The sequence below is a fragment of the Homo sapiens genome, chromosome 17 (genome assembly GCF_000001405.40).
Source record: "Homo sapiens chromosome 17, GRCh38.p14 Primary Assembly".
In the NCBI taxonomy this organism is placed as follows: domain Eukaryota; kingdom Metazoa; phylum Chordata; class Mammalia; order Primates; family Hominidae; genus Homo; species Homo sapiens.
In genome coordinates this window covers 1,946,729-1,972,938 of record NC_000017.11, presented here as the reverse complement: position 1 = coordinate 1,972,938, position 26,210 = coordinate 1,946,729, and the positions used below count along the sequence as shown (strand labels likewise).

The 26,210-nt window shown below is 52.9% G+C and overlaps 1 protein-coding gene across 1 annotated transcript in view, besides 4 other annotated features; it reads left to right on the top strand.

The window, feature by feature from the left end:
• The window catches only part of RTN4RL1 (reticulon 4 receptor like 1), a 90,658-nt gene that overhangs the window by 52,396 nt on the left and 12,052 nt on the right, over positions 1 to 26,210 (top strand). The gene's annotated exons all lie outside the window — the stretch shown is intronic.
• Positions 1,758 to 1,958: a silencer, noted in NCBI's record as "peak2677 fragment used in MPRA reporter construct". NCBI's record gives its function as "represses an SCP1 promoter by STARR-seq MPRAs in K562 erythroleukemia cells {active_cell/tissue: K562}" and the evidence as "EXISTENCE:reporter gene assay evidence [ECO:0000049][PMID:32103011]".
• Positions 9,487 to 10,153: an enhancer, noted in NCBI's record as "H3K4me1 hESC enhancer chr17:1866080-1866746 (GRCh37/hg19 assembly coordinates)". NCBI's record gives its function as "activates a minimal SCP1, AML or CMV promoter by ChIP-STARR-seq in naive H9 embryonic stem cells {active_cell/tissue: H9 hESC(naive)}" and the evidence as "EXISTENCE:reporter gene assay evidence [ECO:0000049][PMID:30033119]".
• Positions 24,083 to 24,584: an enhancer, noted in NCBI's record as "H3K4me1 hESC enhancer chr17:1851649-1852150 (GRCh37/hg19 assembly coordinates)". NCBI's record gives its function as "activates a minimal SCP1, AML or CMV promoter by ChIP-STARR-seq in naive H9 embryonic stem cells {active_cell/tissue: H9 hESC(naive)}" and the evidence as "EXISTENCE:reporter gene assay evidence [ECO:0000049][PMID:30033119]".
• Positions 24,585 to 25,088: an enhancer, noted in NCBI's record as "H3K4me1 hESC enhancer chr17:1851145-1851648 (GRCh37/hg19 assembly coordinates)". NCBI's record gives its function as "activates a minimal SCP1, AML or CMV promoter by ChIP-STARR-seq in naive H9 embryonic stem cells {active_cell/tissue: H9 hESC(naive)}" and the evidence as "EXISTENCE:reporter gene assay evidence [ECO:0000049][PMID:30033119]".

Genomic DNA, 26,210 nt, shown 5'->3' with positions numbered 1-26,210 from the left:
CATTTCGGCCGCTGCTTCATCTGCAGAGAGGAGAGAAGTCCAGCTCCAGCCAGGCTCTCTCTGGCCTGGTCCCCTCTGGAGGTTCATTTAGTCTTTGGGTTTGAGGATTCAGGAAACAACAGAATCGCATAGAAAATGGGCCTGTGGAGGAGTCTGTGAACAGTTAGCGTTGATGCCAGTGCCTGTCTGGAAAGTGAGAAGGACGTGGACGATGGGTCTCTGCTCTCGAGGCACTTGCGGCTGAGTCGGGAAGTTCACTTTTACTCAGGAAATGATGAGAGCTCCACGTGGGCGGGAAAACAGGCACGAGTCTGGGGCAGGCTAGGGTCGAGGAAATCTCCAGGGAGAAGGGAGACTTGACCTTAGGGTGGAGACAGAGGGTAGAGAGGGCGTTGCAGGGGAGGGGCCGCAAAGCGGGAAGGGTCAAGGGTGGCCAGGCTGAAGGGAGCAGGAGGGGTGGCCTGAGAGCGGCCAGAAATCTAAGAGGGGGCACAGAGTTATCACTCTGGCTTATTCAGGGCCTTGAAGCCAGGCCGGGTGTTTAGAACAGGAAGTAGGACTCTAGGAGCACTTAGAGAGGGGTTTGATTTTACTTTTTTTTTTAAATTTTTATTTATTTATTTATTTATTTTTGAGACCGAGTATTGCTCTGTCACCAGGCTGGAGTGCAGTGGCGCGATCTCTGCTCACTGCAGCCTTCACCTCCTGGGTTCAAGCCACTCTCCTGCCTCAGCCTCCCAAGTAGCTGGGACTACAGGTGCCTGCCACCACGCCCAGCTAATTTGATTTTACTTTATTTTTTGAGACAGCATCTTGCTCTGTTGCCCAGCTGGAGTGCAGTGGTGTGATCACAGTTCACTGCAGCCTTGACCTCCTGGGCCCAAGTGATCTTCCCACCTCACCCTCCCAAGTAGCTGGGACTACGGGTGTGTGCCACCACACCTGGCTAATGTTTAAAATTTTTTTTTTTTTTTTTTGAGAGGGAGTCTGGCTCTGTCGCCCAGGCTGGAGTGCAGTGGCGCAATCTCGGCTCACTGCAAGCTCCGCCTCCCAGGTTCATGCCATTCTCCTGCCTCAGCCTCCCGAGTAGCTGGGACTACAGGCGCCCGCCACCACACCTGGCTAATGTTTTGTATTTTTAGTAGAGACGGGGTTTCACCATGTTAGCTAGGATGGTCTCGATCTCCTGACCTCGTGATCCACCCGCCTCTGCCCCCCAAAGTGCTGGGATTACAGGCTTGAGCCACCGTGCCTGGCCTAAATTTTTTTTTTGTAGAGACAGGGTCTCCTTCTGTTGTCCAGGCTGGTCTCCAAGGCCTGAGCTCACACAACCCTCCCACCTCAGCCTCCCGACGTGCTGGGATTACAGGTGTGAGCCACCATGCCCAGCCAAGTACGTGGCTTTGCAGTTAGACCTTCCTGCTCAGAGCCTCAGTTCTACCTCTTTCTAGTTATTCCTTCACCTCTTTGAGGCTCAGCTTCCTCATCTATAAAACTGAACAAATAGTAGCGTATTACTCCGTTTTCACACTGCTGTAAAGAAACACCCGAGACTGGGTGATTTATAAACGAAAGAGGTTTAATTGACCTACAGTTCTGCGTGACTGGGGAGGCCTCAGGAAACTTACAATCATGGCGGAAGGGGAAGCAAACACATCCTTCTTCGCAAGGCGACAGGAGAGAGAGCATGTGAAGGAGGAACTGTCAAACACGTATAAACCATCAGATCTCATGAGAACTCCCTCACTATCACGAGAACAGCAAGGGAGAAACTGCCTCCATCATCCAATCACCTCCCCCTTCGACACATGGAGATTACAATAAGGGATGAGATCTGGGTGGGGACACAGAGCCAAACCATACTGAGTAGCATCTACCTTGCAGGATGTTTGGGGTAAGAGGTCGGGTAATGTACACAATGTGCCTTCACAGTCACTGGCACGTGGTAAGATCTTAGTCAAGGGCAGCCGTCATTAATATACTGCAGAAGTGTGAGTGATTATGTGTAGGCTCGCTTCTCTAGGGAGAGGGTCTCCTACAGCTTTCATGAGATTCCTTAAGGGGTCCCTGATTCAAAAAATGTTAAGCACCACTCACTGCTTGAGAGGTTTAAAAATAGAGGAGTGTTAGGCAGCAGAGAGCCGTGTTTATGTGAACTAAACAGGGTGGTAGGAGCCTGGGGGCAGGGGAGCCAGTGTGGAGCCCTTCTGTCCATCTGTCGGACCCACCGTCCTTCCCTCCAGTCCCTTGATTATCAGGTGTTGCTGAGCACTGACTCGGACAGGCACCCTGCTAGATGCCGAGGGCACAGAGACCAAGAACACAGTGTCAGCGGGGAAGGAAGCTGGGTCGTGGCCAGTCTCCAAAGATGGCCCCCATCCCTCCTGCCACGCCTGTCCCACGAGGGCCCCTTCCCACGTGGAACCTGGGCTGGGTCTGCGGCTGGATCTAACGGGTAGAATGCAGTGAAAGTAAGGCTGTGCCAGTTCAGGTCCTAAGCCTTAAGAAGGCTGGCAGTTTCACGCTGTGGTTTTAGGAGCTCAGAGCCACCAGGTAAAAAATCCAGCTACCTTGCTGGAGAGATCGTGCACAGAGACCACATTAAGAGGAGAAATCCTCGCCAGGCACAGTGGCTCACGCCTGTAATACCAGCACTTTGGGAGGCTGACGCAGGTGGATCACCTGAGGTCAGTAGTTCGAGACCAGCATGACCAACACGGTCAAACCCCATCTCTACTAAATACAGAAAATTGGCCAGGCGTGGTGGCATGTGCCTGTAATCCCAGCTACTTGGGAGGCTGAGGCAGGAGAATCGCTTGAACCTGGGAGGCGGAGGTTGCAGTGAATTGAGATTGCGCCATTGCACTCCAGCCTAGACGACAGAGTGAAACTCTATCTCAAAAAAAAAAAAAAAAAAAAGAGAGAGAGAGCAGAAATCCTGAGGCCACATGGAGAGAGAGAGAGGCTCAGGTGTCTACACATCATAACTCAGTTCCCAAATGACTCCAGCCCCTGCCACCATCTGACTGCAACCACATGAGACACCTGGAGTGAGAACAACAGAAGAACCATCCTGCTGAGCCTGTTTGACCCACAGAGTCATGAGATCATTAACTTTTTTTCATGGACAGGACTATTGTAGTAAGAAATGGTTTTGTTTTAAGCCCTCGTGTTCAGAGTGGTTTGTTACACATGTGGAAATAAATGACCAACCAAATGAGAACCGGTAAAGGCTACTTATTCAGAGCTTTTATAGCAAGGGAGCCAGCCACCTCACTCAAATTCTGGCAGATAGTCCAGGCAGGCAGAGGAGTGGGCAAGTTTTATAGAGGAAAATGGGAAAGCTTCAAGCCTGCCCTGACTGGAGGCTGTTCGCTTAGGGAAGCTGGCGGCTGGCTAAGGGGAAGCAGCTCATCCACTGTGATCGGCTAGGGGAGCATATTTGGCTTTCTCTCTGGTTGGTCTGAAGTTAGAAGTGGGGACAAAAATGAGGGAAACTAATCAAGTCCTAGCTGTTCTGGGCAGACTGTTGCAGAGGTCCTTGTTTGGCTTCTCGGATTGTTTGCTAGAGACAGTGGTCCGGGCCGGGCATGGTGGCTCATGCCTGTAATCCCAGCACTTTGGGAGGCCGAGGCGGGTGGATCACAAGGTCAGGAGTTCAAGACTAGCCTGGCCAACATGGTGAAATCCTGTCTCTACTAAAAATAAAAAAATTAGCTGGATGTGGTGGTGGGTGCCTGTAATCCCAGCTACTCAGGAGGCTGAGGCAGGAGAATCGTTTTAACCTCGGAGGCAGAGGTTGCAGTGAACTGAGATTGCGCCACTGCACTCCAGCCTGGGTGACAGAGTGAGACTCCATCTCAAAAAAAAAAAAAAAAAAGGGACAGTGGTCCAGCTCCCCCACGAGTCTGACTTGTAGACAGCAGATTGGCTTCCTGGGCTGGTTGCTATAGATCATGGGTTGGTTTCCTGGGCTGGTTGCTGCAGACCATGGGTCAGAGTTCTATTTTTATATGTGGCCTGGCACTGTCCATTTGTGCCTCTAGTCTGTCACTCGGCGATAGATACCTACATGTAAACTGACAATTATGAGGCCAGGTCGAATGAACAGTGTTCTGGGTAAGCCCCAAAGGGGGACAATCCCCTTAGCCTGTGCCAAGTTCAAAGAACAAGTGCAATGAGCCAGGCAGGTGCGGGAAGGAGGGGCATCCCAGGGAGAGGGGACGGGTGACCTCAGGCCCGGGGATGTGCAGGAAGGAGGGGCATCCCAGGGAGAGGGGATGGTGTGACCCCAGGCCCGGGGATGGGAGGGAACATGGCACATGCAGGGAACATTAGCTCCTGAGTGCGCTGAGCTCCTGACTGCAGATGAGTGTTGGCTTCGAGCCCAGGGCAGAGTCAGAAATCCTCCTGCAAGAAGGGTCACAGAAATTGGGAGTGACACCATCGGAGCTGAGTTTTAGAAAAACTCCGATAGAGAAGGGGGAGTGGGGCCAGGCAAAGGCAGGAGATGAGTGAGGAGGCAGCTGATCTGTCAGGAGAGAGGACGGCCGGCCCGAGCTATGGGACTTGGTGAACCCGACTCAAGGGGAGAGGAGAAGGCAGCGTCCTGGGTTTCTGGCAGATGGAGGCGGTGGTAGTCACTGAGAGGGTGGCCCAGGAAGAGGGAAAGGGTTTGGACGGGGTGCTTTTCATTTGGGGAATGCTGAGGGGGCAGCCTCCAGGAGATTCCAGAGGACCTGTGCGGAAAGCAGTTCGGAATTGGAGTCGGCAGAGTGCTGAGATCAGGGGAATCTGGAGCCACCAGTATATGCACAGGTCACGGTGGCTCCCACGGGCTGTGGGTAAAATGAGAAGAGGTGCCCATGCCAGGGGCTGAGAAGGAACGTCCAGGAAAGTTGGAGTGGTCCCGGGTGGGCGTTGTGTCAAGGAAACCGAGAGGGGGAGATTTCAAGGGGACTTTGACCTCAGGGCAGTTGAGGCAAGACAGAGACTGGAGGCCGGGCCCGATGGCTCACGCCTGTAATCCCAGCACTTTGGGAGGCTGAGGCGAGTGGATCACCTGAGGTCAGGAGTTCGAGACCAGCCTGGCCAACATGGTGAAACCCCGTCTCTACTAAAAATTACAAAAATTATCCATGCGTGGTGGCAGGTGCCTGTACTCCCGGCTACTTGGGAAGCTGAGGCAGGAGAATCGCTTAAACCTGGGAGGAGGAGGTTGCAGTGAGCTGAGATGGCGCCATTGCACTCCAGCCTGGGTGACAGTGAGACTCTGTTTTAAAAAAAAAAAGAAAGAGAGAGACTGGAAAGTGTTGGGCTTGGGCAACAGCAGGAGTCTGCATGGCTGTCTGGGAGGAGGGGTAGAATTCCAGGTGTAGGGCTCGAAGAGGGAGAGGCCAGGGAGGAGGCGGCCTTTGGAGAAGTTTGCCTGTGAAGGGCAGGAGAGTGAGGCAGTGGCTGCAGGGAGATTTGGGTTGGGCGGGTTTTGTGGTTCAAGGGGAGAGGCTTGATCTGAGTCTACAGACAGACGGCGAGGCGTGGTGGGTAGCGGGGGCGGGGAGCTGAGGATGCTGAGGGGGCCATCTAGACCAGGAAGGCAGCTGTCAGAAGCCTTGGCCTCCGGCGGAATCCATGCTGCAGGTGGAGCTGTGTTGGCCCACACAGTGTTTTGTTTGTTTTGTTTGTTTTGTCGAATTTGCTGCCAACCAATTGCATGCAAAAATCCTGATTCCCAGCCTCTGGCAAAATCCAAAGAATTGATAACCCAGGGCCCCCTCTTCCTTCTGGGGAGGAGCGGCGGGAGCCTGGGGCCTGCAGAGGGGCCTGGCTCCTGGGTTGCCACCTGTACCACCTCCCTGCCCACTTTAGCCTCTTCTGTTTCCTGCGTGGCCTCTGAAATCATTTGAATTGAGACCTCGGGGTCAGGAGCAGTGAGAGAATGGGACCAGAGGCAGAGGGCCCATAATTCTGGGAGGGATGTGTGAGGATGCTGGGAAGGCCAGGGGCCAGGCCTGGAGGTGAGGTAGGGAGAGACTGGGCGAGGTTTGGAAGGGCCCCTGAAGGCAGTGAGGGAGGGGGTGAAGCTGGGAAGCCCTCAGTGGAGAAGAGCTTTGGTGGTGGCAATGCCGGAACTAGGTAAAATGTTAAACCAGGAACCAGTAGTGGCTCCATTCCCATCACAGGATGACAGAACCGGTTCTGGAGAGAAGCAGAGGGCAGAGGATCTCTGTGTCCTCTAGGAGCCTCCACACCCAACATCAGACCCTTGGCTATGTTAGTGGGTGGGGGCAGTCCCTGGAACTTCGGGCCACACAGACAGGGAACCCCAAGACAGAGACTGCCCTTCCCCAGCCCAGGGACTCTCCTAGGCTAGGAGCACGCTGAGATCGCTCCACTGAGCGCTGGGAAGCACTCCTGTCCAGGGAAGTTAGGCTGCTCCTTGGATTCCGGGTCAGAATCCTCTCCCTCCCTTGGGACAGGCCCTCAGGGAATGCTTTTCCTACACCCCCTCCCTCCATCGGTTTCCATCTGAAGCATCTTCTGCCTGCCCAGCTGTAGCCTTAGGCTGAGTTCTATTAGTTCCAGATGGGGCTTGCTCCTGACAGGAGAGGGGGCCTCGCCCCAGGGCCTCCCCAGGTAACAGCTCAACACACACCTCAAGACTGAAACATCCCCATTTGGACCCTTTTGCAGAGTGTTCAGCTCTCAGTCACACTGGGAATCGTACGCGGCTTGGACACATGTCACTGTACCACGTCGAGTTGGAATGTAATTAGGCGCTGGTGGGGAAAATTCCATCTGTCTCCTGGGAATACCGGAATAATGAGCCATCACAGAGGGGCAGGGAGGTGGGCGGGGGGCTGTTGACCTGAGCAGGAGGCTGGGCTCCTTCCTTAGCTCCAGAGCCGCTCGTGATGTGCTTGTCTTGGCTGTGTCAGCGAGCCTGCCCTGTTCTTGAGCTGGAAGCAGGAGCTTTAGTGGGGAGCCTGAGAGGGTGTTCTGGGCTTTGAAGCAGGGAAAGAGAGCGAGCCATCCCTCTCAGGGGTGGGGGGAAGGCAGAAGCCATAGTCCTCACCACAGGCACATGGCCTTTTGCTATACAGAGCCCAGACGAGGGCGGAGAGTCCTGGGGCTGAGGAGCTAGACTTCCCGCAAAAATGGGCTGGACAGGTGTCGGTCAGCGCTGAGGGCAGTGGGGGCCTGGCGGGGCCAGGGGTCTTTACCTGGAAAGTGAACTGGGAGAGGCCCCAGACCACCTCTACCTTGAGCCAACTCTCCTTTGCACCCCTGAGGGTCGCCCAGACCCATTCGGGGCTCCTGGCCTGCCCTGCTCCTCCACGGTAACTGGGTGTTTCAGAGGGGGGCCCACTCTGGCCTGCTTCCTGCTGCTTCCCACCCCAAAGGACAGTAAGTCCATGGGGCCAGGGAGATGGACCCACCCAGAGCCTGTGTTCCCCACTCAAGACCAACTCTGTGCAGCCACAGGTACATTAGATTTTCTAGTAGCCATATTAGAAAAGCAAACTGGACTGGGCGCAGTGGCTCATGCCTGTAATTCCAGCACTTTGGGAGGCCGAGGTGGGCGGATCACCTGAGGTCAGGAGTTCAAGACCAGCCTGACCAACATGGTGAAACCCCATCTCTACTAAAAATACGAAAAACGAGCTGGGCATGGGGGGCGCGCGCCTGTAATCCCAGCTACTTGGGAGGCTGAGGCAAGAGAATCACTTGAACCCGGGAGGCAGAGGTTGCAGTGAGGTGAGATCGCGCCATTGCACTCCAGCTTGGGCAACAAGAGTGAAACAACGTCTCAAAAAAAAAAAAGAAAGAAAGAAAAGAAAAGCAAACTGTAAGCCAGGCGCGGTGGCTCACGCCTGTAATCCCACCACTTTGGGAGGCTGAGGCGGGCGGATCACGATGTCAGGAGTTCAAGACCAGCCTGACCAATATGGTGAAACCCTGTCTCTACTAAAATTACAAAAATTAGCCAGGCGTGGTGGCGCACGCCTGTAGTCCCAGTTACTCAGAGGGCTGAGGCAAGAGAATCTCTTGAACACGAGAGGCGGAGGTTGCAGTGAGCCAAGATTGCGCCACTGCACTCCAGCCTTGGTGACACAGCGAGACTCCATCTCAAAAAAAAAAAAAAAAAAGAAAAGAAAAGAAATGCAAACTGTAACGGTGAAATTAATTAAAAAAATTTTTTTTTAGAGACAGGTTCTTGCTCTGTCGCCCAGGCTGGAGTGCACTGGTGTGATCTCGGCTCACTGCAAGCTCCGCCTCCCAGGTTCACGCCATTCTCCTGCCTCAGCCTCCCGAGTAGCTGGGACTACAGGCGCCCGCCACCACGCCCGGCTAATGTTTTGTATTTTTAGTAGAGACGGGGTTTCACCATGTTAGCCAGGATGGTCTCAATCTCCTGACCTCATGATCCACCTGCCTTGGCCTCCCAAAGTGCTGGGATAACAGGCGTGAGCCACCACACCCGACCTGTGTGGCTAATTTTTAAATTTTTTGTAGAGATGGGGGTCTTGCCATGTTGCCCAGGCTGGTCTCGAACTCCTGGACTTAAGCAACCCTCCCACTTCAGCCTCTCAAAGAGCTGGGATTCCAGGCGTGAGGAGCCACACTGGGCCTAAAATATTTTTATATTTAACCAAATATATTCAAAATATGATATTGCAATATCAACATGCAATCAATATAAAATTATTCATGAGGTATTTTTATTCTTTTTCTTACTAAGTCTTTGAAGTGAGCACATTTCAAGTTTTTGGAAGCCACGTGTGCGTAGCAGCTACTATGCTGGACAGCGCAGCCCCAGACTGTTCCGGAGGCTTGAGACCCCAGAACGCTTTTCTCAAGTGACTCCCACCTGCCTCCAGGACCTCCTCCCCATTAGAACTCCCAAGGGCAGGCCCGGCGCGGTGGCTCACGCCTGTAATCCAGCACTTTGGGAGGCCGAGGCAGGTGGATCACCTGAGGTCGGGAGTCTGAGACCAGCCTGACCAACATGGTGAAATCCTGTCTCTACTAAAAATGCAAAATGAGCCGGGCGTGGTGGCGCCTGTGATCCCAGCTACTCGGGAGCCTGAGGCAGGAGAATGGCGTGAACCCGTGAAGTGGAGGTTGCGCTCAGCCGAGATCGCACCACTGCACTCCAGCCCGGGCAACAAGAGCGAAACTGTCTCAAAAAAAGAAAAAGAAAAAGAAAAAACTCCGAAGGGCAGATTGCACCCGGAAGCTTGAGAGTTGGGAAGGGCCAAGAGCCTGGTTTGCCTCCATGGTGAAGTGCAAATTCCCATAGATTTGTTCTCCTTCTCACCTCAAAATCCGCTCTGATCCTAGAGGCCCAGGTGATGACAGCTATGGGGTGCCGAGTGGCAAAGGCGGGTGGACACAGCCCAGAGGCAGCAGGGAGCCCCTGAAGGTGGCGGGCAGTAGGGATCCAGCAGAGGCAGCCTGGACAGGCCTGGCTGGCAGAGGGAGAGAAGGTGGGGGAGCTGCAGTCCACAGACAGGTTAATGGCTCCTACCTCGCCCACAATTGAATTTGCCCTTGTGAGCCTCCTGGCTTTGGGCAAGGGCCTCTCCTCCTGGGAGCTCAGCTGGACTCCCAGAGCCACGGGGCTGGGTCAGCCAGGCCTGATTCAATCAAGAGAAATGAAGGACACGGGGCTCACAGACAGCTCTACGCCCAGAGGGGCTGGTGGCTCAGCCCAGAAAGATGAGGCTGGGGAGGGCCAATGGGAAGCCATCCCAGGTCCATCCCAGCTCTGCCTTCCTCCTAGGAACCCAAAGAGCGGGGACCCTCCTCTGACCATTAAAACACAGTTGACAAGCCAGGTGCTGTGGCTCATGTCTGTAATTCCAACTACTCAGGAGGCAGAGGCAGGAGGATCGTTTGAGCCCAGGAGTTCGAGGTTGCAGTGAGCTATGATTATACCTCTGCACTCCAGCCAGGGCAACTGAGTGAGACCCTGTCTCTTAAAAAAAAAATAAAATAGAGTTGGCAATGATCTGTAATATACTTCATTGCCCTCCCTACCTTCCCACATCTCTTTTTTTTTTTTTTTTTTCTGAGATCGAGTCTCCCTCTGCCGCCCAGGCTGGAGTGCAGTGGTGCGATCTCGGCTCACTGCAACCTCTGCCTCCTGGTTCAAGCTATTCTCTTACCTCAGCCTCCCGAGTGGCTGGGGTTACAGGCACACCATCCTGCCCGGCTAGTTTTTGTATTTTTAGTAGAGACGAGGTTTCACCATGTTGGCCGGGCTGATCTCGAACTCCTGACCTCAAATGATCCACCTGCCTCGGCCTCCCAAAGTGCTGGGATTACAGGTGTGAGCCACCACCCCTGGCCTTCCCATGACTCTTAAAAGGTGGTTACAAGATGATTTTAAATCAGAAAACTGGAAACTACACCAGGCGTGATGGCGAGCACCTGTAGTCCCAGCTACTCGGGAGGCTGAGGCAGGGAGAATCACTTGAACCCGGGAGACGGAGGTTGCAGGGAGCTGAGATTGCACCACTGCATTCCAGCCTGGGCGACAGAGTGAGACCCCATCTCAAAAAATAAGTAAATAAAAAGAAAACTGGTAACTAGTCTGTTTTTTCTTTTTCTTTCTTACTTCTTTTCTTTTTTCTTACTTTCTTTTTTTTTTTTCCAGAGAGGGTCTTGATTTGTCATCTAGGATAAAGTGCAGTAACGCACCATGGCTCATGGCAGTCTTCACCTCCCAGGCTCAAGCAATCCTCCCACCTCTGCCTCCTGAGTAGCTGGGACTGCATGCACGTGCCACGCCTGGCTAATTTTTTTTTTTTTTTTAAGAGATAGGGTCTTGCTGTGTTGCCTAGGCTGTTCTGAAACCCCTGGACTCAAGTGATCCTCTTACCTCAGCCTCCCAAAGCACTGGGATTATAAGCATGAGCCACCACGCCCGGCCTGCTTTTCTTTTCTTTCTTTCTTTTCTTTCTTTTCTTTTCTTTTTTTTTTTTGAGGCAGAGTCTCGCTCTGTAGCCCAGGCTGGAGTCCAATGGTGTGATCTTGGCTCACTGCAACCTCCACCTCCCGGGTTCGAGCGATTCTCCTGCCACAGCCTCCCAAGTAGCTGGGATTACAGGCACATGCCACCACGCCCTGCTAATTTTTTTTTTTTTTTTTTTTTTTTTGTATTTTTAGTGGAGACAGGGTTTCACCATGTTGGCCAGGCTGGTCTTGAACTCCTGACCTCAAGTGATCTGCCCGCATCGGCCTCCCAAAGTGCTGGGATTACAGGCATGAGCCACCGCGCCTGGCCCCGGCCTACTTTTCTTTGTGTCTGTGGGGTGTCCAGAGCACACTAGGACAAGAGTGGGAGGAGGGAAGAAGAAACGAACAAAAGAGACTCCACCCTTTCTTTCCTCTCAGTCCCTTACGTGTTGTATCAAACCCAACTCCCAGACCTGTGTTAAATGTTCTCTCTGTGGGAGGCCAGTGAATGCCAATCAGTTAGGGGACAAATTGCAAACTAGAGAGGCCGTCACGTGACTCCTACCGTGACTGCTGTCTCCCTCTCTCGCGCCTCCAGGCCTCCGCCCATGCGGTTCCTTCTGCCTGGAATGCCCTGCCCCGTCGTCCTCCAATGCCCCTTCCACCCCGAAGGCCAGCTGAGCTTCTAGTCATCCTTCCAGGCCCCCCTTCCCTTCGTGACTTTTCCTGGTTACTCCTCCCCTCCCCAGCAGCACCGCTTTCTTCCTTCCTTGGCTGTTTCTTTATCTTTGTAGATGGCTTCATCCGAGTGCTTGATAGTGAACCGGCTCATTCAATCCACAAATAATTGCTGAGCACTACCTGGGTGCCTGGCCCTGTCCCGGGGATGGGGATATCACAGGGAGCGACAAGGGGAAAGACAATAAATGTGTAAACAAATAATTAAGCAAGGTGCTCTCAGAGAGTGTTAGGTGCTGAAAGGGAAATAAATAGGGCTGGGTCCTTATGACATTGAGAGTGGCCAGGAGCAGAGGGGCCGTGGGCATCGGCTGGAGACAGGGAGGTGACTTTTGAGCCAAGACAAATGTTAAGAAGGAGATGGTCCCCCAAAGGCCTGGGGCAGAGAGGGCCCCGTGGGAACCGTCAGTGTGAAAACTCCGAGGCCAACGTGCTATGATCCATTTGTATGAAATATCCAGAAGAGGCCAATCCACAGAGACAGAAAGCAGCAGATTAGTGTTTGCCAGGGGCTGGGGGAGGGAGAATGGGGAGTGACTGCTAAGGGGGATGGAGTTTCCTTTTGGGGTGAGGAAAACGTTCTGAGCCAGATAGTGATGATAGTTGCGAATATGCTGCGTGCCAGTGAATTGTACGCTTTAAAATGTTAACTTTTAGTTATTTATTTGTAATAAAAATGTGTATATTTTACAAGAAAACAAAGCCTCCAAGGCAAGAATGAGCTCGCTGTGGTCTAGGAACAGAGGCCAGTGCAGCTAGCGCTGTGAAGAGTGGCGCAGGACGGGGCTGGAGAGGGAGGTGGGGCCGCTCACGAGGGCGACGTGGGCTGGTGAGCAGCCTGCATTTTATTCTGGTGCAATGGAAAGCCACTGAAGATTTCGAGCAGGAAAGTAACATGATAGCACTTACTGTTTTTGAAGATCCTTCTGGCTGTGCTTAGGCTGTGGGTGGTGATGGGGCTGCAATATAAACAGGGAGACCAGTGAGGGTGGCCACGGCAGAGGTCCAGGGAACAGAAGAGAGTGGCCCAGGGTAGGGTGGGGGTGGTGGGGGCGGGGTGATGTGAATTTGGGATGTATTTTGACGGTGGGGCCAGTGGGACTTAGTGGATTAAAGGAAGAGATGATGAAGGAAAGGGAAGAATGGAGAATAACACCTGCATTTCCAGCTTGAGCAGCCGAAATGCTACAGGTGTCACCTGCTGAGACAGGGAAGCCTACACGGTGAACACAGGACAATCGGAGTTTGAGCTGCTTATTAGATACTAACGTGGCAGTGCCAGGCGGGCAGGCGGGTGGACTGGTCTGCAGTTTAGAGCCAGAACACATGTCTAATCCCCACCCCTATGAAGATGGTATTTAAAACCTGAGCCTGGCTGGGCGCGGTGGCTCACGCCTGTAATCCCAGCACTTTGGGAGGCCGAGGTGGGTGGATCACGAGGTCAGGAGTTCGAAACCAGCTGGGCCCACATGGCGAAACCCCGTCTCTACTAAAAATACAAAAATTAGCTGGGCGTGGTGGCGGGTGCCTGTAATCCCAGCTACTCAGGAGGCTGAGGTGTGAGAATCGTTTGAACATGGGAGGTGGAGGTTGCAGTGAGCCGAGATCGTGCTACTACACTCCAGCCTGGGTGACACAGTGAGACTCTGCCTCAAAACAAAACAAAACAAAACAAAGACTTGGGCCTGGACAAGCTCACCTGGGGACAGGTGTGACTACAGAAGAGAGAAGTTTCAAGGGCTGAGCTCTGGGGATTTAGGTGTATGTGGTCATCAGGCCGGGAAGAGCAGACCAAGAAGAAGCAGGCAGCAAGGCAGACAAGACGACAGAGCCAGGTCTCTGAAGAGAAGAGAAGAAAGAGTTTCCAGAGGGGAGGGCCAACTGTGTCCAGTGCTGCCAAGGTGAGCAGATTAGGATGAAGAAGACACTATTAGATTCAGCAATACCATGATAGGACTGCCTCTCTGGTGAGTCTGAGCACCCAGCACATAGTAGGTGCTTATTAAAGGCCAGAGGCATGAAATGATTAGTTTCTGCACTGTGTGCCATAGACTGCCCAGAGTATAAGGGTCTCAGCCAGAAACCTAGGATCAAGGGAAGTGGCCAAGAGGCCTGGGCCACCCCGGAAATAAAAGGAGCCATTGTCAGGTGGAGGCCGGGGGAGCCCAGCGGAGCCCAGGATTCCCGCTCGCCCACCGGCGTGTTTTGAGAGGGCCTCACCCTCCGCGTCTTTTCCCTTTTGCCTCTCAGGAGGTGATTCATATTTCAATATATTCCAGCTGAAAAAGGATCAGATTTTGAGCAGGTGGTAAGTCAGTACATGGAAATTTGATATATTTTGACTAATGCAGTTTGAAATTTGAAAACTGCAGACAATTTTATTCAAGATCCATTTTTATACCAACTCATTATTGGGGGGAAAAGGCAAGATTTCAGGCTTCCGGAGGAGGACGTGTGAACCCAGGCCTGTCACCAGCAAGCCCTGCTAAGCAGGCTTGATCTGGCCGGCCGGCCCGCACGCTGCTGCCAGCTGCCTGCCTCAGCTGCTGCACGATCCTGCCGGAACTGTTTCTTTAGCAACCTCTTTCAAGTATCCCCTGGGGTTACTAGTCCAATTTAATCTGACCTTCAGCCCCACCTCTGTCGTGCCAACTCCAGCAAATCCCTGGGGCTGGCACTTAAGACAAGTTTTGTGATACCGATGATGGTATTACACAGAATTTCCACTTCCTTCCCCAACCGCCTTGTCCATTTCCCCGGCCTCATGAGTGTGAAGCACAAGAAGAGGGAATTAATAATGAAAACAGGGGAGGAATGAAGTTATTGGCAAGGGAGCAAAGACACGGCTCATGGGAGGTGGGGACGGGGTGCCTGGTGGGGCACTGGCGGGGGCCGATGCTGGGAGAGGGGTCTCTGTGCAGCAGCGGCCTCTAAGGAGAGAGATGTCTCCTCCCACGGTCGGATGCCACGGCAATCTTGTTTGAATCTTGACTCCACCATTTTGGACAAATCACTTCGCTTTGGTTTTATTTTTGTTTTTGTTTTTGAGACACAATCTCACTTTGTCTCCCAGGCTGGAGTGCAGTGGTGCAATCACAACCCATAGCAACCTTTGAACTCCTGGGCTCAAGCTATCCTCCTCAGCCTCTCAAGTAGCGGGGACTACAGGTGTGCCCTGACATGCCGGGCTAATTTTTTTTTATTTTTTATTTTTTTAGTTTTTGTAGAGATGGGTCTCACTGCATTACCCAGGCTGGTCCTGAACTCCTGGGCTCAAGTGATCCTCCTGCCTCGGCCTCCCAAAGTGTTGGGATTACAGGTGTGAGTGCTGCAACCCACCATCTCACTTTGTTTGTTTGTTCGTTTGTTTGTTTGTTTTGTTGTTGTTGTTTGAGACAGAGTCTCACTCTATTGCCCAGGCTGGAGTGCAGTGGTGCAATCTAGGCTTAGTGCAACCTCCACCTCCTGGGTTCAAGCGATTCTCCTGCCTCAGCCTCCCGAGTAGCTGGGATTACAGGTGCCCGCCACCAACATGCCCGGCTAATTTCTGTATTTTTAGTAGAGGCGGGGTTTCACCATGTTGGCCACGCTGGTGTCAATCTCCTGACCTCAGGTGATCCACCCGCCTCAGCCTCCCAAAGTGCTGGGATTACAGGTGTGAGCCACTGCACCCGGCCCTGCCACCTCACTTTGTTGAGCTTCATTTTTCTCAAGTGTAAAATGAGGCTATTAATACCCTTATAATAATTGAGAGGAGACTGTTCAAAGCGTGTATGTGGACACCCCCAGCGTGGGTAGGCCTGGCACACAGAAGGGGTCCAGCACATGTTAACCCCCTTCCCTTCCCCACGGTCTCCTCTTCATATGAGGCTCACGGGCCTGGTCTGTTTTACATAGCTCACGGGCCAGTTGGGAAGGCAAACAGAGGAAAGGGTTGAATCTCTGAGAGCTCCCACAGCTGGTGATTTTCCGAGTGTAGAACTTGAGGTTTTAGGAGCTGAATGTTCTGAAAGGTGACTCATCAGCAAATGTCAGGAGCACTTGGACTCAACCAATCTGATCTAAGGAAAGGATCAGGTATTTGAACCAAGCCGTGAGCACAAAGATGTTCATTCCAACGTTATTTAGTTTTAATTTAACTGACTCTTGAAAAGAATCAATAGATACAGTCATGTGGTAATACATCAAAAGTTCCTGGCTGGGCGCGGTGGCTCACGCCTGTAATCCCAGCACTTTGGGAGGCCAAGGCGGGTGGATCACCTGAGGTCAGGAGTTCGAGACCAGCCTGGCCAACATGGTGAAAACCCGTCTGTACTCAAAATACAAAAGCCGGGCGTGGTGGTGGACGCCTGTAATCCCAGCTACTCGGGGAGTGCTGACGAAGGAGAATCACTTGAACCGGGAGGCAGAGGTTGTAGTGAGCTGAGATCGCACCATTGCGCTCTAGCCTGGGCGACAGAGTGAGACTCCATCTTAAAAAAAAAAAAAAAAAAAAAAGTTCCCGACAGGTATGCAGTGATGTTTCCCTCACCCCAGACCCTGAGCTCCCCTGCAGCCCTCCCAGGAGGCAACTGTTACCAATTTCTGCCATGATCATTTGTAACAGTGAAAAATGAGAAACGATCTAACTCTTTCACGGATAAATAAATTACAGTCTGTCCATGCAGTGGGATACTCTGCAGTCTCTAAACATCGTGCCTGTTACCGCATCCCTCTTCTGTTAAGTAACTGTGCATTGCCTCTGGCCCCAGGCCCTCAGCCTAGACTACTGCTTCTGGCTGGAACCCGCCCCCCCACCAGGCCCCCACTTGAGTCCTCAGCCTTCAGACTCTCCAAGACTTCACACCCCCACTGATGACTCTCCGAGGCTGTCCAAGGCTTCACACCCCCACTGATGAGGGAAACCCCGCAGTTCTCATAGCTACCTGGATCTTTCGCCGTACGCGTTAGGAGCTGCGATTGTATCTGGGCGTGGTGTTTGACGAGTGCCTGTTTACCTATTCGCCTGCACCCCGCTGGGTGGTGGGGCCCCTCTGCCTGCTGAGCTGCCTGCTGCTTCCTTAGTACACAGCCTCAAAGATAGAGACCCCCTGAGAGCTGCTGAATGAATGGAATGGTCTTAAGTAGAAAATGCGGGATACAGAACTCCATATATAGCATGATCCCAATTTTATTTCTTTAAATAAAATTTTTATTTAAATTTTATATAGCTCCATATAAAAAGGGAAGTATTGAAAGAAGATACAGCAAGGCTCTGTCAATGGTTGTCAAGGGTAATGGGACTGTAGTGATTTTTCTTCCTTTTTACTTCTATACTTTTCATGTTTTCCACAACTGGCAAGTCTTATTTAATTCAATAATAATTATTTCATACCTGTAATCGCAGCACGTTGGGAGGCTGAGGCGGGCGGATCACTTGAGTTCAGGAGTTCGAGACCAGCCTGGCCTACATGGCGAAACCCTGTCTCTACTAAAAATACAAAAATTCGCCGGGCATGGTGGTGGGCGCCTGTAATCCCAGCTACTCAGGAGGTTGAGATGGGAGAATCGCTTGAACCCGGGAGGTGGAGGTTGCAGTGAGCCGAGATCGCGCCACTGCACTCCAGCCTGGGCGACAGAGTGAGACTTTCTCTCAAAAAATAATAATAGTAATAATAATAACTATTATTATTATTATTTTGAGATAGGGTCTCACTCTGTTACCCAGGCTGGAGTGCAGTGGCATGATCATGGTTAACAGCAGCCTTGACCTCCCGGGCTCAAGTGATCCTCCCGCCTCAGCCTCCTGAGTAGCTGGGATTACAGGCATGTGCCACCACAGCCGGCTCATTGTTAAAATGTTTTATAGAGATGGAGTCTCACTATGTTGCCCAGGCTATCTCAAACCCCTGGACTCAAGCCATCCTCCTGCCTTGACCTCCCAAATTATTGGCATTACAAGTGTCAGCCACCTCACCCAGCCCTGGCAAGTATTATTTTGAAAGTAAATAAAGATGAGTGATATTAAATAAAAACCTTACAGGGAGAAATAGGGTTGGGGACCGCACACAAGGCCTATGCTAAATGCTACCTGGGCTCAACCTCCTGGGCCTGAGGTCACAGACTGGCAGGGGCTCGTGGCTGGTGAGAGGTAGGTCCCTAGTGAAAGGGCGGCGCTCAGGCTGACAGAGAAGAGAAGGTAATTTAAGGCCTGGGACCGGAGATTCTTAGAGACTGCAGGCATCTCAAGCAGCCAGTGAGGAGAAATCCTGCAGAGGGTCCGAGGAGAATTATCTGTGAGCTGAGGCTGGAAATGGCTGGTAGTCAACTTATCCTGTAAGCATAAGTTACCTACCCTGGGGTCGTCTGGCTGCTGCAACTTATTATATATCTCCATTTACCCACAATAAGGCCACCTGGGGTTTTTGCTTTTGACTGGAATGACATCAGCTAAATCATTCATTCATTCATTGACTTGACAGACAGCAGGATGACCTCTATGTACCAGGAACCAGTTGGACGCGCAGCAGTGCTGCGCCTCTGGGGTGGAGAGAGAAGAGAGTGGGAGTGGCTGGGCGCAGTGGCTCCTGTCTGTAATCCCAGCACTTTGGGAGGCCGAGGCGGGTGGATCATCTGAGGTCAGGAGTTCGAGACCAGCCTGGCCAACATGGTGAAACCCCGTCTCTACTAAAAATACAAAAACTAGCTTGGCGTGGTGGTGAGCACCTGTAATCCCAGCTACTTGGGAGGCTGAGGCAGGAGATGACTTGAACCCAGGAGGCGGAGGTTGCAGTGAGCTGAGATCGTGCCACTGCACTCCAGTCTGGGTGGCAAGAGCGAGACTCCATCTCAAAAAAAAAAAAAAAAAAAAAAGGAAGGAAGCAAGGAAGGAAGGGAAGGGAAAGGAAAGGAAAGGAAGAGTGAGTCCAGGGAGGCTTCTGGAGCAGGTCCCATCTGAGCCAAATCACAGAGTTGCCCAGTATGTAAGTTAGACTTTTTTTTAGTAGTAAGCAAGAGAAATCTTGTCTGACTGACTGAGCAAAAAAGGAACTCATTGGAAGGCGTGTTGGGACACTTCTGGACACAAGTAATTGAAAATCCAACCCAAAATGGCTTAAACAGAAAGAGGACATACTACCATGTTCTATGACAAGAAGTTTGGAAATTCCAGCATTGGTTGACTCATTGGCTTAACAAGATCACTGTGGACACAGGTTCTCTCCGTTTTACTCTGTAGTCCTGGCAAGCTGACATTAGCCTTTGGGCTGGTCCCTTCATGGTTGAAAGATGGGGCTTCAGGGCCATGCATTTCATGCTCGTCCAGCCACACCCAGAGGCAGGAGGTAGAACATCTCTTCCTTGTATCTCCCAATCCTTTAAAAAAAATTTAATGGCCAGGCACGGTGGCTCATGCGTGTAATCCCAGCACTTTGGGAGGCCAAGGCGGGTGGGTCACTTGAGGTCAGGAGTTCGAGACCAGCCTGGCCAACATGGTGAAACCCCGCCTCTACTAAAAATACAAAAATTAACCGAGCTTGGTGGTGCTCGCCTGTAATCCCAGCTACTCAGGAGGCTGAGGCAGGAGAATCGCTTGAACCCAGGAGGTAGAGGTTGCAGTGAGCCGAGATCACGCCACTGCACTCCAGCCTGGTGACAGAGTGAGACTCTGTCTCAAAAAAAAATTTTTTTTTTAATTCAATTTTTTTTATACTTTGAGTTCTAGGGAACATGTGCACAACGTGCAGGTTTGTTACATATGTATACATGTGCCATGTTGGTGTGCTGCACCCATTAACTCATCATTTACATTAGGTATATCTCCTAATGCTATCCCTCCCCCCAATTTTAATTTTTGAGACGGGATCTCGCTCTACCCAGGCTGGAGTACAGTGGTGTAATCATGGCTCACTGCAGCCTTAAGCTCTTGGGCTCAAGTGATCTTCCCGCCTCAGCCTCCTGAGTAGCTGGGACTACAGGTGCATGCCACTGTGCCCAGCTGATTTTGTATTTTTTGTAGAGATGGGTTCTAACTATGTTGTCCAGGTTGGTCTCAAACCCTGGGCTCAAACAATCCTCCCATCTTTGCCGCCCAAAGTGCTGGGATTACAGGCATGAGCTACCATGTCTCGCCTTAATTTTTATTTTTTAATATTTATTTATTTTATTTTATTTTATTTTATTTTTTGAAACTAGATCTCACTCTGTCACCCAGAATACAGTGGCACAATCTCGGCTCACTACAGCCTCTGCCTCCTGGGTTCAAGCAGTTCTCCCACCTCAGCCTCCCGAGTAGCTGGGACTACAGAGGCACGCCACCACACCCGACTAATTTTTGCATTTTTAGTAGAGATGGGGTTTCACCATGTTGACCAGGCTGGTCTTGAACTCCTGACCTCAGGTGATCAACCCCCCTCAGCCTCCCAAAGTGCTGGGATTACATGCTCCTGTTTAAACCAACCCCAGACAGTGAAGTAGACAAAGACTCACCCCCGGCAGGAGAGGAGCCCGGCTCCTCTAGAGGAGCACATGGTTGCCTCTGAAGGAAATTTGGATCCTGATTGCCAAGAGGAGGGGGGTTGGGTGGACCTGTGCAGAATGAAAATGGGGGAGGAGAGGCCGGGTGTGGTGGCTCACGCCTGTAATCCCAGCACTTTGGGAGGCTGAGGCGGGTGGATCACGAGGTCAGGAGTTCAAGACCAGTCTCACCAACATGATGAAACCCCGTCTCTACTAAAAATATGAAAAAATTAGCCGGGCGTGGTGGTGGATGCCTGCATTCGCAATCCCAGCTATTCAAGAAGCTGGGGCAGGAGAATCACTCGAACCCGGGAGGCAGAGGTTGCAATGAGCCGAGATCGCACTACTGCACTCCAGCCTGGGCGACAGAGTGACACTCCATCTCAAAAAAAAAAAAAAAAAAAAAACCAACCTCCCTTGACCCATGCCCCTCCAAGTCCAGCCCCGTTTCTCCGCTGCCCCTCATGGCAAAACGTCATGCAGCGTGGTCTCTGGGTGCTCACAGATATTCACTATTCCCCAAACTCCCCTGGGGGTATTCGTGCATGATGGCAGCTGGACCCCGTGACTTACTTTGACCAATGAAATGTGAGCAGGAGAGACATGTGTCGTTTGAAACAAAAGGGCAAGGGCCACGTGCACAAGTCTTTCCCTTCTGCTAGGAGAGCAGCAGCTTCTGGGTAGAGGGTGCCCTCTCAGCCCAGGTCCTGGAGCAGAGCCTCAGCCGTCCTGCTGTCCCTGAGCCATTAGAATTCTGAGTCCCTCGTGATTTCAGCACCACCCGCCTGTCCTGGCTCCCCCACCTCACTCACATTCGATCTTCATCCCACTCCATATGCCTTCTGCCTCCGCCTTTCTGCCAGGAAGGAACTTTCCAGTGGCCTCCAAGTCGCCAAATCAGTGGGGCGCTTCTCTGTCCTCACGTTAGTCTTCGGCAGTCCTCATCACAGTTGATTATCCCTCTTCCTGAAAAACTTTGTGGCTTCGGGCCGGGCGCGGTGGCTCACGCCTGTAATCCCAGCACTTTGGGAGGCCGAGGCAGCTGGATCACCTGAGGTCAGGAGTTCGAGACCAGCCTGACCAACATGTGGTGAAACCCCATCTCTACTAAAAATACAAAAGTTAGCCAGGTGTGGTGGCGTGTGCCTGTAATCCCAGCTACTCAGGAGGCTGAGGCAGGAGAATCGCTTGAACTCGGAGGCAGAGGTTGCAGTGAGCCGAGATCGCACCACTGCACTCCAGCCTGTGAGACAGAGCGAGACTCTGTCCCAAAAAAACAAACAAACAAAAAAACAACAAAAAAAACTTTGTGGCTTCGGTAAAGCCACACTTTCCTGGTTTCCTCTCACCTTACTGGCGGTTCCTTCTCCTTGGCTGACTCCTCCTTTCCCCTCCACAAAAGCATTGTGTCGCGAAAAGCCTCAATCCTGTTTGTTTACTATTTTTTGTTAATAAAATTTAATATTTTTTTTTTTGAGACGGAGTCTCGCTCTGTCGCCCAGGCTGGAGTGCAGTGGCGTGATCTTGGCTCACTGCAAGCTCCTTCTACCAGGTTCATGCCATTCTCCTGCCTCAGCCTCCCGAGTAGCTGGGACTACAGGTACCCACCACCACACCTGGCTAATTTTTTGTATTTTTAGTAGAGATGGGGTTTCACCGTGTTAGCCAGGATGGTCTCGATCTCCTGACCTCGTGATCCACCCTCCTCAGCCTCCCAAAGTGCTGGGATTACAGGCGTGAGCCACCGCGCCCAGCCATGGAGTAGCTATTCTTTAGTTCCTTTACTTTCTTAACAAACTTCCTTTCACACACAGAGAAAGAGAGACAGAGAGAGAGAGAGAGTCTCAGTATGTTGCCAAGTAGCCTTTTTTTTTTTTTTTTTTTTTTTTTTTTGGAGACTGTGTCTCACTCTGTCGCCCAGGTTGGAGTGCGGGGGTGTGACCTCAGCTCATTGCAACCCCTGCTTTGGGGGTTCAAGCGATTCTCAGCCTCAGCCTCCCAAGTGGCTGGGATTACAGGTGCGCGCCACCACACCCGTCTAATTTTTGTATTTTTAGTAGACATGAGGTTTAACCATGTTGACCAGGCTGGTCTCAAACTCCTGAACTCAAGTGATCCACCTGCCTCAGCCTCCCAAAGTGCTGGGATTCCAGGCGTGAGCTGCTGCCCCGGCTTCATTCCCACCAATTTACACGCCCGCTCTGTGCCGACAGCTCTTGAGTGTACAGCCAACCTCTGGGCTTCAGTTTTGTACTTCCAGCTGCAGCCAACTAAACATCTCTCTAAGGCTTCTCGGACGTTATGCATCCTCAGCTGTGCCCTGGCTGCCCTGAGCCGGTTTTCCTGTTTTATTCCTCCAGTCTCATAGTGATACCCTCATCCTGTCCGTCTTCTGGAATAGACTTGGGAAGCCGCCCCGTGACCCCCGTCGCCTCCCTCACCCTGATCCGTCAGTGTGTCCTGTCGGGCCCCATCCTGGCATCTGTCCGGTCCATTCAGCACTGTCTGTCTCCATGGCCCCTGCCCTCTTCAGGCCCCCAAGGTCTCTCACGGCCACAGGCCTCCCTCCTTGCTCCCCCCCAACTCACCCTCCAAATGCAACCTCCCAAATCCAAACCCAATCCTGTTGCTCCCGCCCCGGGCTCTTCAGTGACTTCTCATCACACTCAGAATTAGATCCAAACCCTTTCTGGTGGTGTTTCAGGCCATACGAGGCCTGGCTCCTGCTGTTCTGACCCCATCTCCTGCCCCTCTGCCCTTGTCCAAGCCAAGCTCAGTCCTGCCTCAGGGCCTTTGCACCTGCTGTGCCCTCTGCCTGGAATGCTGTTCCTCAGCTCCTTCTTATCTTTTAGGTTTCAATTCAGAAGTCGCCCAGGGAGGGAGGCCCTCCAAGAGCACACAGCTAAGATAGGTCCCTTCCTTTGTCTCTATCTCAACCCTTTTTGTCCCCAGCACTTACCATGATCCGTCATTTGGGGCTTATCTGGTTCCTTTATTTTGACTGCACCCCCAGGAGAATGTAGGCCCCAGGAGGGAAGGAGCCGAGCCTCTTGCTGCTGTGGAAGCAAACCCGGAGCTCAGTCACTCTCGTGAATGAAGGAGTGGGGATAGATTCAGAACCGGGTGATGGACAGGATCTGGGCTGCGCTCAGAGCTCTAGATGCCGGTTCTGAATGCCTTTCACTGATCGCAGGGAAGGGGCGGGTCTTCGGGGCTGGGGAACAAGGACCCTGGCAGGGCGTTCTGCACCTGCTTCTCAAAGGCAGGCTCCCAGCTCCTGTTTTGCATTGTTGACACCTTGGCCTGCCCGTGAGCACCAGGGCCTTCAAGAACAGTGGGTCTTGGCCAGGCGTTGTGGCTCACGCCTGTAATCCCAGCACTTTGGGAGGCTGAGGCGGGCGGATTACCTGAGGTCAGGAGTTGGAGACCAGCCTGGCCAACATGGTGAAACCCCGTCTCTACTAAAAATACAAAAATTAGGCCAGGCACGGTGGCTCACGCCTGTAATCCCAGCACTTAGGGAGGCCGAGGCGGGCAGATCATGAGGTTCGGAGATTGAGAACACCCTGGCTAACACAAGAAAACCCCGTCTCTACTAAAAATACAAAAAAAAAAATTAGCCAGGTGTCGTGGCAGGCGCCTGTAGTCCCAGCTACTCTGGAGGCTGAGGCAGAAGAATGCCTTGAACCCGGGAGGCGGAGCTTGCAGTGAGCCGAGATCATGCCACTGCACTCCAGCCTGGGCGACAGAGCGAGACTCCGTCTCAAAAAAAAACAAAAATTAGCCAGGCGTGGTGGCAGGTGCCTGTAATCCCAGCTACTCAGGAGGCTGAGGCAGGAGAATGACTTGAGCCCAGGAGGCGGAGGTTGCAGTGAGCCAAGATTTCACCACTGCACTCCAGCCTGGGCGACTGAGATTGTCTCAAAAAAAAAAAAGAAAAAGAAAAGAAAACAGTAGGTCCCCACCCCACGCCCTCCCCCTCACACCCCTCCTGGACCCCCAGGCAGGCATCACAAACAGACATTTGCCACCGAGGACGGTCTCGTCGCCACGGAGGTAACCCCTGCCCCACTAAACACACCTATGGTATCACTGAGGACTTGGTGGGCCCATCCGCCCGTCCGCCCGTCCACCTGTGTCTGCCCGTCCGCCTGTGTCCGCCTGTCTGCCTGTGTCTGCCTGTCTGCCTGTCTGCCTGTCCGGCAGTGGGTGGTCCACAATTAGCTGTAGCTTTGGGGGAGGGGCAGTTGGCTCCACAAGGTGCCAAGCTCAGACGCAGGGCCCAGAGCCTTCACTGAAACCTCCTGGGAAGGGCAAGCTCTCAGAAGCCCTCGGCCTTCAGCCCTGGAGTCTGCGCTGCCACAACTCAGGTTCTGGGGCCCCCAAACCTGGGAGCAAATTTGCATAACGGGACACATTTTATGAGCCCTGGAAAGCAGGGGCTACAGGAGGTGGAAATAGAGGCCACGGGCCCTGGGCTTCCTGCAGAGCACTGCCAGGACCAGGTGGGGCTGGCTCGATGGGGAGAGAGGGCCCAGTAGAGAGGTCAGTGCGCTGTTTCCACCTGCAGCCGTAGCCTGGCAGGGACCCTCAGCCCTGGGCTAAAGCCCCTTCTCGGCATCTGATATGTCAGGTCTTTCTGCGGCGGGTTGGGTGCATCAGGGTGGGTGGAGTGAAATCCAGGGTCCAGGGTCCACTGGGGGTTGGGAGAGCCCTAAGCAGGAGTGGGGGCAGCTCCCTCTGGTAACACTAGCAGTAACGTAATCATCACGGCTTAGGGAGGGCCACCCGTACAACCAGCCCTGTCCCACTGAGTGCACCTGAGGAGCCAGCCGCTCTGACCCGCAGTTCCCAGACCTCAGGACTGAGCGCCTGTCCCAAGGTCATCCCACTGCAATGTGCTGCCACGGGGGCCGGTCTCAAGCCTGGGCAGTACGTGGGTCCAGAGCTGTCAGAGTGCCAGCGTCCAGCCCCCACCCCATGCGAGACCTTCACAGCAAGGAGACCGGAGACCCGATGGGCAGAGGGTAGGGGAGCTGGGGGTGGCTCCGACAAGGCCCCCTGAGAATGTGGCGGCCTAATTAGCACGGCATTCCCAGCCAGGCCTGCTCCAGGGGCCCAGCGAGGCAGATGAAAGCTGAAAGGCTATTCCAATAAGGGGCCGCCCACTTCTCAGCTGAGAGCGATCCTGGCGTGCTGGAGGGACCTGGAGTGGGTACATAATTCAGCGTGTCGGGAGGAGGGCGGGAGTTGAAGGCAAACCAGAGCCAGTGCCGAGATAAGACCTGGGATGGGTGGCTCTGCCCAGAACAGGGCCCCGCTCCCTTTTCAGGAGGGTGAGCGAGGCACGCTGCAGGGTGAAGGGGGCCGGGCCGCCACCCTATCCACAGTCCCGAGACAGGCATGTGTTTCTGTGTGCATACCTGTGTATTTGCACACATGCATCGGCTTTGCACGTGCACTCAGCTGTGCACACACATGTAAACACAGGCCCGCCCAGGTACATGAGCACACAAGCGTGCGTGCGCAGACACACGTGCACACACAGACACACAGTCACACAGAGACGCACACAGACCCCGTGCATACACAGACACACATTCAACATAGACACACACAGACCCCGTGCGCACACACACATTGACACAGAGACACGCACAGACCCCGTGCACACACAGACACATTCACAGAGACGCACACAGACACATGTGCACACACAGACACATTCACACAGAGATGCACACAGGCCCCATGCACACACATTCACACAGAGACGCACACAGACCCCGTGCACACACACATTCACACAGAGATGCACACAGACACACGTGCATACACAGACACACGTGCACACACAGAGACACAGACACACGTGCACACAGACACACATTCAACATAGATGCACACAGACCCCGTGCACACACAATTCACACAGAGACGCACACATTCGCCATGCACACACAGACACACAATCACACATAGATCCACACAGACCCCGTGCACACACATAT